Below are 13,377 nucleotides of genomic sequence, written 5' to 3' on the forward strand. Positions count from 1 at the left end.
GGTATGGCTGTGGAGAGGTGGCAACCCAGACCTCCTGAGGCAGCTAGGAGCACCACCCAGCCTGGCTCCTGGGGACTCCCTCAGTGCAGGGGAAATGCTTTCATCCCTGATGATTCTGAGCCAAAGTACAATTGCCTCCTTCAGGCAGACAAAAGAGACAGGTTTCCAAGCTCAGATTCTACCCAACAAATTTATTCCCTGGGCTCTGATGTGTCAGGAACACGCCTGGCTTCAAAGCTGTGTTGTCACCATTCTCTCCTTCTGGAACGCCACCTCCCCCTGCTTGTCTCAATGTTGCCATTCCTTCCAGCTTAGGTCACAGCCATCCAGAACCTACCCAGCCCCAGGGAGCTCTCCCTCTTCTGAATTCTTTCAGCACCTACCTCGGTCTCTATTTTTCATTTGGCACTTGGTGTGGGCTGCCTTGTATGATATCACTTGGCTTCTTGTCAATGTCTTATTTCCCCAACTCAATTTTTAACAATTAGTATGAATTTGAACAGTTATTAGGTGCATATGCTTCAGAATTCAAAAAGTATCAGAGAGATTTAGGAACAAGAAAAATAAGTCTCTTTCATTTTGTTCCCCTCTTGGCAGCCACCACTGTTAATGTTTTTGTTAGTGTTTCCTTCCAGAGATGTCTACATATATATAGGTTGAATATCCCTTATCGGAAATGCTTGGGAACAGAAGTGTTTAGGATTTCAGATTTTTTCAGATTTTGAAATATTCGCATATACATAATGAAATATCTTGGGGCTGAAACCCAAGTCTAAATACGAAATTTACTTATGTTTCATATACACCTGATACACATTGCATGAAGGGAATGTTGTATAATGTTTTAAATAATTTTTTTGTTTTGTTTTGTTTTGTTTTGTTTTTTGAGATGGAGTTTCACTATTGTTGCCCAGGCTGGAGTGCAATAGCGTGATCTTGGCTTACTGCACCTCCACCTTCCAAGTTCAAGTGATTCTCCTGCCTCAGCCTCCCAGGTAGCTGGGATTACACGTGCCTACCACCATGCCAGCTAATTTTTGTATTTTTAGTAGAGACAGGGTTTCACCATGTTGGCCAGGCTGGTCTCAAACTCCTGACCTCAGGTGATCCTCCAGACTTCAGGTGATCCTCCCGCCTCGGCCTCCCAAAGTGCTGGGATTATAGGCCTGAGCCATTGAGCCCAGCCTATGTTTTAAATAATTTTGTGCATGAAACAGTTTGTGTATATAAGGTCAGGTATGGAATTTTCCACTTGTGGCATCATGTCAGGTACTCAAAAAGTTTTGAATTTTTGAACATTTCACATTTTGGGTTTTTGGAGTAGGGATGCTCCATCTGTACTACCATGCTTGTATGCACATTTAGTATACACTTTGTTCTACACCTTGTTTTTTCAGTTAATAATAAATCTGGAAGATGGTCCATATGAATACTGTTAGCTATGCCTCATTCTATTTGGTCACAATATAATATTCCATCGTATAGCATACCAACACTTGTTTTACCAGTCTGCTATTAACGGGTATTTAGATTGTTTCCAATCTTTTGCTATTAAAAAGAATGCTGCAACCCTTGTATGTATTTTTTTTGCACATATATATGACCATACATTCTTAGAATTGAGATTTCTGGGTCAAAGATTATGCATTTTAAATCTTGCTCTCTTTAAAAGTCACACCAGGCCGGGCACGGCGGCTCACGCCTGCAATCCCAGCTACTTGGGAGGCTGAGGCAGGAGAACTGCTTGAACCCGGGAGGCAGAGGTTGCCGTGAGCCAAGATTGCACCATTGCACTCCAGCCTGGGCAATAAGAGTGAAACTCTGCCTCAAAAAAAAAAAAAAAAAAAAAGTCACATCAAATTACCCACCCTCCCACTACCAATCTATAAGAATGCCTGTGCCCTCAGCCTTGCCCATACAATGTATTCAACTTTTTTCTTTTTTTTGTCTTTGTCAATCATCCAATAAGTGAAACAAAGTATTTTGTTAGGGCCATGTGCCCGGGTGCAGTGGCTCTGGCCTATAGTCCCAGCACTTTGGGAGGCTGAGGCAGGAGGATCATCTGAGGCCAGGAGTTTGAGACCAGTCTGGCCAACATGGTGAAACCCCATCTCTACAAAAAATACAAAAATTAGCCAGGGGTGGTGGCACATGCCTGTAATCCCAGCTACTTGGGAGGCTGAGGCAGGGGAATTGCTTGAACCTGGGAGGTTGCAGTGAGCCAAGATAGTGCCACTGCACTGGAGCCTGGATGACAGAGCAAGACTCCATCTCAAAAAACAAAACCCCAAAGTATTTTGTTGTAGCTTTATTATTATTATTCTTTTAAAAATTATTATTATTTGAGATGGAGTTTCACTCTTGTTGCCCAGGCTGGAGTGCAATGGCACGATCTTGGCTCACTGCAACCTCCGCCTCCCGGGTTCAAGTGATTTTCCCGTCTCAGCCTGCCGAGTAGCTGGGATTACAGGCATGTGCCACCACGCCTGGCTACTTTTTGTATTTTTGGTAGAGACAGGGTTTCACCATATTGGCCAGGCTGATCTGAAACTCCTGACCTCAGGTGATCTACCCGCCTTGGCCTCCCAAAGTGCTGGGATTACAGGCATGAGCCACCATGCCTGGCCTGTCGTAGCTTTAGTTTACAGTTTTTTTGTGAATGAGATTGAGCATCTTTTCATTTGTTTAAAAGCCAGTATTTCCTCTTCTGTGAGCTGCCTGTCCCTTTGTCCATTTAAAAATGTCATTGTCTTTCATTAGTTGGCATTTCTTTGTGGACAAAGGAAATTAAACCTTTGTCTGCTAGATGTGCTCCATATAATTTCCCTCAGTTGTCATTTGTCTATGTCCTATCCCCTTGAGCACAGAGATTGGAATTTAAACTTTTTTATATTCTTTTTCTTAATATAACAAGACATACACGGTAGGTGCTAGACAAATGTCTGTTGGCACAGCAGAGTAAGAAGAAAAAGGCAGAGATCTGGAAAATTTGGAGTGACTTAACCCAACCACTCCTTCCTCTTATACCAAGTCTAACCCTTAGTCTTTGTGTCAGTCAGGACTCTTATAAACAGCAGAAGCTAACTGGCAAATTGTTTCAAGTCCCCTGCCCCCAACAATTATAGAGATATCGGATAGCACACAGAATCAATGCAAGGGCCAGCAAACAAGGGTCAGCAATCAGACAGGCACCTAGGGAAGCTGGGCAGCCAGTACCACAGTCAAGGTTGGGCACAGGACAGCCTGTGTAGGAGACTCCTGTCCCCTCCACCCTCCGCAGTGATCCTCCTACTCTCGTCCCTCACCTGCGGCAGTAGCGCTGACACTTCCTCCTCCAGACACTAGAGGCCGCTGTTGGCCCCATCGCCTCCACCGCCGCCGCAGAAATGAATTCCTAAACCAGCCTTGCTATTCCGTGACTTGCTCCAGATTCAAAGTCCCAGTTGGAGCATCCGATTGGCGGAGCTCATGTCTTCTGCCTGCAACCCCAGAGCCGAGTCAGGGAGAGCAAGCATTGGGGCTTTGTGGCAAATGGTGGCCTGCTTTCCATTAGGGCCCTTGCGATGGGAATTCCCCAAATGTAGGCAGGAGGTTCTGATGGTGGGCAGCCAGGAAACCAGGACACTCACACCACCTTCTTCTCTCACGTCCGCCTCAAACCCTTCTCGTTGGCGAAGTATTCCTGGGTCCCCCAGCCTAAAGCACTTTTCTGGACTCACATAACCATTATTGCTTGAGCCAATCACGATGCCAGCAGGACCGCAGTAACACCTAATTCGTACCATGTCTCATTTGACTTTCAAACAACCCTAGGCACTACCTATATTTAGTGAGAAAAAAAGAGTGCTCAGAGATTTTCCCAAGTCTCACAGTAATGCCAGGTTGTACTCTGTTTCCAAAGCCTCGGGTTTCCCAGCGGGCTACACTGATGGGCTGGTATCTTATCAAGTTCAAGCTCTGCAAAGGCAGGGCTTGGGCCACATTCTTCTTTATACGGCCTGGCAGCATCTTGAATGCAGAAAAATGCTCAGCTAACGCCTTTGGATTGGCCTGGATGGGATCAAGCAGGAGCCAGTTCTGGAAGGTTTCCTAACTCTCCAATGAGGCCTGAACCCAGGGAGCATTTTGAAGTGGAATAGGCCTACTCAGGATCAGTTTGGGAAGACTTGAACCTGGGGAATTCCGTTGTACGGCCCCCTTTACCTCACCTCCCCCAAATGTGTCAAAACTGTCAACAAGAGGTTTGCAGGTGTTCATTATTTATTCATCCCACGGGTAGTTTTGAACCCCTACGACTGCTCTAATAGACCAGTGAGAAAAAACACACAATTCCTGTCCTGTGAAATCGACATTCTAGTGGGGGAGGTGAATGGTAATAAAAAATAATCAAACCAATAAATGCTAATTTGTGGCTCTAACAAGCCTGATGAAGGAAATGCCACGAGATGCTGTAAAAGGCAGTTCTGACCTACTCAGGAAAGCCAGGGCAGCCTGCTGGGGGACCTGGGGCTGGAGCTGGGAGCTGAAGAAGGGGGAGGAGTTAGAACCGTGGTGGGGGGAGGGAGGGAAGAGTCTGAGTCCTCGAGGTGGGTGAGTAAGCATGGATCATCGCTCATGTTTATAAGAAAGTGACAGAGGAACCTGGGGGCCGAGCGGCTTGTTTGTGGGCTGCCCCAGCCTCCGTGCGAGCGCTTCTCGCTTGGATGGAGGCGGGGCCGCAGTCTCCCAGGTCCCAGCTGGGGCTGACGTCGTCCTGGTGTGTGCCCAAAATAGCCGGCTCCGCCCTCTTCTCCCGGCAGCCCCTGCAGGCCCCCACCCCCCCAGGGGACAGGCGGAGCCGGCCTTCTCCCCGTCTCTAGTAGTTTCCGCACCGCTGACGCATGCCTGCGCGCACAGCTGGGCCGGGCGCGTCCTACGCAGCAGCCGCGAGCCGGGCTGCGGGTGCCAGACGGTTCCCGGCGGGGGGCAGGGGCGGGGCGCCGCAGGAGGCCGGGACTCCTGGCGGAGGAGGTGCGGCCGGGGGCCCGGGTCAGGCTGGGGGCCCTGGATCGGACTGCTGGAGTTGGGGGGCCCCGATAGGGCTCCTGGGCCTGGGCGTCGAGATAGCTCTTGGCCCCGGCCTGCGGGGGCAGATAAGGCTGCCGGAGGGAGCCTAGTCACCGGCCGCAAGCAGAGCCCGGTGTGCTCCGCTTCCAACTGGGAGCGCCTTCCGCCACCCGGGGAGGGGGACTGCTGCAGCCACAGGGTGGGGCTCTTGGTTCTTTCCGCCTGACTCCTTCTCTTCTGCAGCCCCAAGGAGGCCCGCCTGACGACTGACCAGTTGCCATGGCATCCTACTACGAGATCCTAGACGTGCCGCGAAGTGCGTCCGCTGATGACATCAAGAAGGCGTAAGTGCCTCCGTATGCAACAGAAGACCTCTCACCCTCCACCCGCCACCACCATGGGGCACTTCAGAGTGACACCTGTAGGTGTCTGAGGGAACCAGGTCGTTAGAAAGCACTGGGGTGCTTCTTCCGAGTGACACCTGCAGGGAGGAAAGAGACCCCTGGTAGAGTACAAGGAGAACGTCCAGAGAGTGAAGTAGTTAGTTCCTCTGGGAGCTGCACTGTGTTATGGGTTGTTCTCCAGTTGATCTTCCCCTCCTCCTCCTCCTCCTCCTCCTTTCCCCTCCCCTCCCCCTTCCCCCTAGATTTGGGCATTCTCAGGCTGCAGTGCAAAGATGCAGTGCAAAGAGGCTCTATGAGGAGGAGGGGCCGGTGTCCCTGTACTCTTCGAGGCCACATGTGCCCCAACCTTTGCAGCCCCAGTCCAGTGAGCCCTAGGGAGGGGCTAGGGACCCTGGCATTGTATCCGCTTGTACATGTGGTCCCAGCACTGGTGGCGGAGGAGAGAGGGTGGAACTTGATGAAAATATCACAGCAGCGGCAGCCCTAGCAGCTGGGGTGGACTGGGACCCGGGGGTGAAAGGACAGTGATAGGCTAATGGGAAAACAGGTCGTTCGGTTCCTGGGTGGGAAGTGCCTGCATTTGTCCCCCGACTCTCTCCTCTGCACCCACTTTCTGCAGGTATCGGCGCAAGGCTCTCCAGTGGCACCCAGACAAAAACCCAGATAATAAAGAGTTTGCTGAGAAGAAATTTAAGGAGGTGGCCGAGGCATATGAAGTGCTGTCTGACAGTAAGGGCCGGGGTCAGGCAGGACCCAGCACATCACCCCCTACTTCATGCCCCAGCTCACATTTTCTTAAAGCAATGTCTCTGCCACCTAGTTTCCTCTGTGCCTTTTTCCAGCCTGACATTTAAGCTCCCCCCTCCCACAGGGACAGCTCAGTGTCTGCTCCCCAGAGTCTGGTAGGAGTGGCTGGCATGAGACCTGAAAGGGGAAGGAAGCAGGGCAGGTAACTCATGTGAGCTGAGCCTCCTGCGTGCCAGGCATTGGTGGGTGTCATCTCCATGAGTTCTCACAGCCGTCCTATGAGGCAGGTTCTATCACCCCTATTTTACAGGCAAGGAAACTGAGGCTGAGAGAGGTGAAGTAACTTGCTCAAGGCCACGCAGAGCTGGAATATGAATCCAGGTCTGCCTTTTTATTGATTCATTCGAAAAGTAATTCAGTGAATGGTGACAGTGTCCGGCACTCGCTGGGTGCTGGGGAAACTGGAGGACAAGCAGGCACTGTCTTTGCCCAGAGGGGCAGGGAAGACCAACACCTACCAGGCACACACACAGACACAGTTACAGCTTGTGAAGAGTATTCCGAGGGAAGAAACAGGGCAGGTGGAGTGCTAGGGAATAATGTGCACTTGCTTTAGTTCTGGTGGTTGTAGAAGGCCTCTCCGAGAAGGTGACATTTAGGCTAAGCCCTGGTGAATAATAATGTAGTAATCATTAGCTAACATTTATTGAACACTTTCTATGTGTCAGGCACTGGTAGGCAGTTTACGTGGATGGTCTCATTTGATCTGTGCAACAACCCTGTGCGGTAGGTGTTGTGATGACAGCCATTTTCCAGATGAGAAGAGGCCAGCTGTGTGAAAGGCTGAGTTGCTGCCTAAACCTATAGCCCGTGTCCCCTGGGTCCCCTGCTGTGCCTGCTTTCCCCCGCCAAGTGTCAGAGTGTCAGTCTCTGGACAATCCTTTGAACGTCCTAGCCTGGGAGGGGAGCCCATCCCAGAGGGAGGGTGAAATGATCTGGTCTCTTTTTGCAGAGCACAAGCGGGAGATTTACGACCGCTATGGCCGGGAAGGGCTGACAGGGACAGGTAGGTGGAGTGGTGAGGCCCAGGAATGGAGGTGGGGCAGGGAGGAGAGGGGCAGGGCAGATTCTTGCAATGGAGGCTCTCTCAGGCTCCTGGCTGTGCCTTAGGTGAGGTCCCCCGCTCAGGGCAGGATGCATGCCCTAAGCTCTCTCCTCATCCTGCCTTTCCAGGAACTGGCCCATCTCGGGCAGAAGCTGGCAGTGGTGGGCCTGGCTTCACCTTCACCTTCCGCAGCCCCGAGGAGGTCTTCCGGGAATTCTTTGGGAGTGGAGACCCTTTTGCAGAGCTCTTTGGTGAGTGGACTCTGGAAGCCTCTGAATGGCTCAACTTCCCCCTCCAGGCCTGTCCTTCCATCAGCTGGGAGGCCCTGAGGTGGAAGGCTGAGAGGGGACGGGAATGCCACGGACAGAAGATTTTGTGGAGCTGGGTCCAGTGAGAGCCGGGACAGAACCTCACGTGTGCCAGAACCCCCGTAATCCAACAGTGACACTTCACAGACTCACCTTATTAAATTACAACAATAATACATTGTTAGACTTCTATAGTAACAGCCATGAAAGCAAGACTCAAAGCATCTTGTGACAATATTGTTATTATTACCTATAAAACAGATAGTGGTATTTTTTAATGATAGATATGTGCCAAATATTTTACATTTCGTAAGTCTCTAGTGAATCCTGACAGGTGGGCAATTTTCTCCCCATTTGCAGATGAGAAAACTGAGGCACAGTTAATAGCCCAGAGTCACATAACACATGGCAGAGCTGGACTCCTAGCTGTGTCTGCCTGTCATCGCGTCATGATGATTTGCCTGTACTGAAAGAGCCATCTGTCCTCCATCCCTCTTCCCCCTCCTTCCTTCCTTTATTCTTTATTGTGGACAGAATTAACCAGTGAGTGTTTTCGAATTCAACATTAAAAAGGAATTTATAAATAAGCCCAACTAAAAAGCGGAAAAGAAAAACCCTACCCAGTTGCTTAGTGGTTTATACTTCCAGACTTGGGCTCACACACTTTTGAGGGGAAATGTCATTACCAGATGACTGCTAATCTGTTTACTTGTTGCAGATGACCTGGGCCCCTTCTCAGAGCTTCAGAACCGGGGTTCCCGACACTCAGGCCCCTTCTTTACCTTCTCTTCCTCCTTCCCTGGGCACTCCGGTAAGTTCTGCCCCTTCCCACGTTTGCAAGCTCCGATTCCTGGAACCCCTGGCTTGAGCTTGTTGCTTTTCCAAGCCTGTCTCCTGTGTTGGGAGCCCTGCCTCCAGCAGCCCTGCGAGGCGGCCTGGAGCCTCGGTGACCACAACAGGCAGCGCAGTCTTCTTCTAACCACCTCTCCTCCTCCTCCCTTGTCCCGATGCCAGATTTCTCCTCCTCATCTTTCTCCTTCAGTCCTGGGGCTGGTGCTTTTCGCTCTGTTTCTACATCTACCACCTTTGTCCAAGGACGCCGCATCACCACACGCAGGTGAGAGCTCCTTCTGGGGCCATAGAGGGGTGAGAGGTCTGCTGGGGAGCTGTGTTCAAATAGAAAGTTGGCTCCTTGAGGGCAGGGCCCAGTCTGCGCTCTCTACTGCGGTGGCCAGAACTGGGACCAGCGCCTGCAGGATTCTGTCACTGCTCGTTGCCTGAACTGTGCTGTCTCCCACAGAATCATGGAGAACGGGCAGGAGCGGGTGGAAGTGGAGGAGGATGGGCAGCTGAAGTCAGTCACAATCAATGGTGAGGAGCAGCTCCCCTACCCAGCCCCTGGCAGGAAGCCCCAGCCCCAACCTCAGCAGCCTCCTCCCCAAACTGCTGCTCTCTGAACTCACTTAGGGCTTGGGAGGGAGTGGCAACAGGCCAGACTGGTAGGATCAGAGATGGCAATGTCGGGAAGGGGGTGAAGGAGTCTCACGAAGCCATCGCCGTCACTGTGAGTGGGGTGCCTTACATTTGCAAAGCACTTTACTATTTTTAAAGCACTTCCAGATATACGATATCCTCTGTATTCTTCAAGCATCTGGGGGAGTACACAGGGCAGATGGTATCCACTTAGTTTTAATTTGGGGAGCCTGAGCTGCAGCATAGTTAAATGACCCTAACTTCCAAGTAGCCCAGGCCCAAGACTCTTTCCTTCCAAGTAAGGAGTAGAGCCAGGAGTCAAACTCAGGACGCACGATTCCCGGAGCAGAACTGCCCCTGCAACACCATGCTGTGCAGGGCCGTCACCACAGCTAACCTTTCACGCCTGCTGACTCCCAGCACTGCGTACCAAGCCCTTTACATGGGCTGACATATTTAATCATTGGAACAATTTGAGTATGAAGGCACTATCATCATTCCCATTTTCTTTTTTTTCTTTTTTTGAAACAGGGTCGTGCTCAGCCCAGCACGATTATGGCTCACTACAGCCTCGACCTCCTCGGCTCAAGCAGTCCTCCCACTTCAGCCCCCTGTGTAGCTGGGACTACAGGCGTGTGCTACCATGCCCAGCTAATTTTTAAACTATTTTGTAGAGATGGGGTCTCACTATGTTGCCTAGGCTAGTCTCGAACTTCTAGGCTCAAGTGATCCTTCTACCTCGGCCTCCCAAAGTGTTGGGATTACAGGCATGAGCCACTGTGCCCGGCCATCATTCCCACTTTCTAGATGAGGAAAGGGAGGGGTAGGGATGTTGAGTGACTTGCCTAAGGGTAGGAGCTTCTACCTGGTAGAGCTGAATACTTCCTTGTGCTCAAAATCACAAGCCTAGGTGCCAAAATGCATGTGTGCCAATTCCAAATAAGAGACTCTAAGTGGTCAGGGTTGTTACTGTGTGAGGCAGCCTGGCAGTAATACCCCTGGCTCAGGTTGGGGCCTCATGGTGGCTGTGACTCTTGCAGGTGTCCCAGATGACCTGGCACTGGGCTTGGAGCTGAGCCGTCGCGAGCAGCAGCCGTCAGTCACTTCCAGGTCTGGGGGCACTCAGGTCCAGCAGACCCCTGCCTCATGCCCCTTGGACAGCGACCTCTCTGAGGATGAGGACCTGCAGCTGGCCATGGCCTACAGCCTGTCAGAGATGGAGGCAGCTGGGAAGAAACCCGCAGGTGGGCGGGAGGCACAGCACCGACGGCAGGGGCGGCCCAAGGCCCAGCACCAAGATCCAGGCTTGGGGGGGACCCAGGAGGGTGCGAGGGGTGAAGCAACCAAACGCAGTCCATCCCCAGAGGAGAAGGCCTCTCGCTGCCTCATCCTCTGAACACCGGGCCCAACCTGATCTGATCCAGATCTTGACTGGGGGGTCTGACTCACTGTGGGAAGAGAAGAGGGGAGTATCCTGAGTTGTAGGAACTGCTTTCCAACTCCAAGCTCCCTCCACAAGTTTCCCTCCCAGGCCCCCCACACCCCAGTGTGGACTTGGGATTTGCTGTGCTCAGCCCAGGGCTGATAGGTCCCTGGTGAAGCCCAGGGTGGGGGGTGTCAGGGCAGTGGAGGGGCCCGAGGAGCCAGGTTGCATTTATTGGATGGGGAGCTCCAAGGGGCATTAGTGGTTTGGGCTGGGCCTTTTGTGCCCTGGTACTCTGCCACCTGTGTTGCTGATGGTGTCAAGGAAGGAGGACTTGGCCTAGGGTTGTCTGAGCCGGAGCCGGCAGCTCCACTGGAGAGCAGTGCAGGCAGAGTGGAGCCTCCTGCTCTCCTGGACCAGCTGCAGACCCCCAACCCTGGTTTCTGTGCCATGTTGCGCTCTGACCGTCTCTGTTGCTTCTCTTCTGGTGTTGCTTCTCCTCCCTCCCATTCTCTCTGCAACTCCCTGCGGGCCGCATCGCTTGCTTTCACTGCCGTCTGGCTAGGACTCCCTTCTTCCTTCCTTCCCCGAGAAGGCCTCAATGTGGCGAGGAAGATGCTGGGGCCGGTAGGGCTGTGAGATCTTCTGGGGAGGCTAGCCGGGTGGGGCGGGAGCCTCTCAGCTGTCCAGATTCAGAACTGGAGCCCACTCCTCCTCCCTCTCGTTGCCTCAGCCTGCCCTCACCCTCAGGACTAGGCAGAGGTGAGGCTGGCTCACCCTGAAGAGGTGGGATAGGACCGGGGGACCCCAGAGGGAGGCCTAGGAGGGGACTGCACCCATACTGCTTCCCTACCACAAATCAGGGCTCAGGGAGAGGCCATGCGGCCAGCCCAGGTCTGCATGCTGAGCCCCATCCTCCACAGCTTGCCGCTGACGCTCTCTCCTGTCACCCCGCCCCTGCTCTCTCCCCAGATGTGTTCTGAGCTGGATGCCGGGTTCCAGAATCGCTGCACAGTTCCAACAGGACAGCGCCTTCCCCCATGCGCTGGGAGGGGACCCTCCATTTCTCCCCCTCACCCATGCTGAGTGTAGAGCCGGGGCCTGGGTGGCGGGTGGGGGCCGGGTGGGAGGTGGCAGTAGTCTTAGCCTGTGCACTCTCTTCCTTGGGTGTTTGGTGCTGGCTCCTGGGGACTACAAATCCCAGAGTGCGGTGTGCCCGGCCTCATTTCTGATAGATCCCGCTTGGGGGAGGTGGTGTATGGTTACGGAGCTGTGCATCTTGGGACATGTAGTAGCCCAGGTCGGCTTGTCACTCGCTGTGAGATGGGGAGATTTTGTCTTTTGATTTATCCCTGTAGGGCTGGCAGGGTTGTAGATGAAGGGGGAATGATCTGAGCCTTGGTTCCCCTGACACGTCTTGCTAGCCCCAGGGTTAGAGTGGGCAGGGCAGAGCCGCGCAGCACCTGGGAGCGGTACCTTTCCCTTGGGCAGCCTGGGGTCCCAGGAACAAGCCAGGGCGAGTGGCATGTCTGCCTGAGCAGGGTGTGGCCCCAGAAAGCTGAGGAGTGTGGGCTGGCAGAGAGCTTCGAGGGCAAGGCCACCCGCGGGGGCGTGTGTGTGGTGGGGCTTGGCATGTGATGGCAGCTCCAGGCATGCCGCTGCTTGTATGGCTTTCTTTGGCCTCTGACCCTGCTGCCCATTCTTTCCAACATCACAGATGAACTGCCTCTCCTCCTCCCTGCCTGGGGAGCCCAGTGGCCAGGGAGGGGAGTGGTGGAGCCAGTCGCTGTAACACTGAGCCTCAGAGACGAACCAAAACCAGCTGGGCTGAGCTCAGATCCAGGGGGAAATGCTGGAAGTCAATAAAACTGAGTTTTGAGAGCTTGGTGGTGTGTTGTGTTCTTGGGTTCCTACTTTCCGGGGTGGCCCAGGAGGGCCTCTAAGGGACAGTGGGTGACACCTCAGGCCTCACACCTCCCTTTATGCCCCTACAGCTAGAGGTGCAGGCCTTGCCAGTTGAAGGCAGAAATGCCCTCTTTGACCAGGCTGCCCTCCCCAGGTATGTTATGGAACCCCAAGCAATGCTTCATTCTTTGCTTTCACCTCTTGGGGGCCTACAACTGGCTTTCCCTAGCAGCCGATGTTCCCCTTATGAGTGGCCTCACCCCCTAGTACTCCACAGCACAGCTAGGACCATACTCAAGTTAAGACTTAACTGAGGCTGGGCGCGGTGGCTCACGCCTATAATCTTAGCACTTTGGGAGGCTGAGGCGGGCAGATCACTTGAGGCCAGAAGTTTGAGACCAGCCTGGCCAACGTGGCAAAACCCCATCTCTACTTAAAAAAATACCAAAAAAAAAACCCCCCAAAAAACAACAAAAACACAAAAAGCTGGATGTGGTGGTGGTGCATGTCTACATGCCTATAATCCCAGCTACTCGGGACGCTAAGGCAGGAGAATCACTTGAACCTGGGAGGCGGAGGCTGCAGTGAGCCAAGATCAAGCCACTGCACTCTAACCTGGGCAACAGAGTGAGACTGTCACAAAGAAAGAAAGAAAAAAAAAAAAAGACTGAAAGCACAGAAAGCTGAGAACACACAGTGAAACCTTTAAACTGTACCTGCATGAGGCCCACAGACTAAGCCCCTGGGTAGGTTTCATTGGCTCAGCCCGAGGTGTGAGCCAGTGGCATGTGGTGTGGCATGAGTCCAGCCCACCCAGGGCCCAGGCCCCAAACTCATCAGGGCCCACGGAAGAAAAAGCCAGGTACCCCTTCCCTTTCATCTCTAGCCGCTGTGCTGGGACAAGCACCTTTCCGTTGTCAGGCAGGGCCAGGTGGCTCCCCAGGCCTCTCTTCTATTCCAGGACAG

General features: G+C 52.9%; 1 protein-coding gene across 2 annotated transcripts, besides 4 other annotated features; it reads left to right on the forward strand.

Moving 5' to 3' along the window:
* Positions 2,978 to 3,682: an enhancer, noted in NCBI's record as "H3K27ac-H3K4me1 hESC enhancer chr2:220142208-220142912 (GRCh37/hg19 assembly coordinates)". NCBI's record gives its function as "activates a minimal SCP1, AML or CMV promoter by ChIP-STARR-seq in primed H9 embryonic stem cells {active_cell/tissue: H9 hESC(primed)}" and the evidence as "EXISTENCE:reporter gene assay evidence [ECO:0000049][PMID:30033119]".
* Positions 3,259 to 3,461: a silencer, noted in NCBI's record as "fragment chr2:220142489-220142691 (GRCh37/hg19 assembly coordinates)". NCBI's record gives its function as "represses an EF-1alpha promoter that drives an FKBP-Casp9 reporter gene in an ReSE screen in phorbol 12-myristate 13-acetate-treated (for megakaryocytic differentiation) K562 erythroleukemia cells {active_cell/tissue: K562(+PMA)}" and the evidence as "EXISTENCE:reporter gene assay evidence [ECO:0000049][PMID:32094911]".
* Positions 4,703 to 5,182: a silencer, noted in NCBI's record as "silent region_12352". NCBI's record gives its function as "represses an Ori minimal core promoter by ATAC-STARR-seq in GM12878 lymphoblastoid cells {active_cell/tissue: GM12878}" and the evidence as "EXISTENCE:reporter gene assay evidence [ECO:0000049][PMID:35858748]".
* Positions 4,858 to 12,387, forward strand: DNAJB2 (DnaJ heat shock protein family (Hsp40) member B2). 2 transcript variants are annotated; one of them, NM_001039550.2, is made up of 10 exons: positions 4,858 to 5,010; positions 5,290 to 5,390; positions 6,070 to 6,179; positions 7,210 to 7,263; positions 7,431 to 7,553; positions 8,329 to 8,421; positions 8,625 to 8,727; positions 8,911 to 8,981; positions 10,124 to 10,327; positions 11,479 to 12,387. In NM_001039550.2, exons 2-10 carry the CDS (start codon positions 5,326 to 5,328, stop codon positions 11,487 to 11,489), a joined length of 834 nt encoding a protein of 277 aa, NP_001034639.1. In that variant the 5' UTR covers positions 4,858 to 5,010; positions 5,290 to 5,325; the 3' UTR covers positions 11,490 to 12,387. The 2 variants fall into 2 exon arrangements, with proteins under 2 accessions (NP_001034639.1, NP_006727.2); NM_006736.6 differs by having other exon boundaries at positions 10,124 to 12,387.
* Positions 11,661 to 12,628: an enhancer, noted in NCBI's record as "H3K27ac-H3K4me1 hESC enhancer chr2:220150891-220151858 (GRCh37/hg19 assembly coordinates)". NCBI's record gives its function as "activates a minimal SCP1, AML or CMV promoter by ChIP-STARR-seq in primed H9 embryonic stem cells {active_cell/tissue: H9 hESC(primed)}" and the evidence as "EXISTENCE:reporter gene assay evidence [ECO:0000049][PMID:30033119]".

The sequence above is a fragment of the Homo sapiens genome, chromosome 2 (genome assembly GCF_000001405.40).
Source record: "Homo sapiens chromosome 2, GRCh38.p14 Primary Assembly".
Lineage (NCBI taxonomy): Eukaryota > Metazoa > Chordata > Mammalia > Primates > Hominidae > Homo > Homo sapiens.

Excerpts from the sequence above, each read along its gene's own strand:
- DNAJB2 (NM_006736.6), top strand. The coding sequence starts at position 5,326 with ATGGCATCCTACTACGAGATCCTAGACGTGCCGCGAAGTGCGTCCGCT. Across the intron at positions 7,264-7,430 it reads GGAAGGGCTGACAGGGACAG|GAACTGGCCCATCTCGGGCA; the intron begins GTAGGTGGAGTG and ends CTGCCTTTCCAG. Across the intron at positions 8,982-10,123 it reads GAAGTCAGTCACAATCAATG|GTGTCCCAGATGACCTGGCA; the intron begins GTGAGGAGCAGC and ends TGACTCTTGCAG.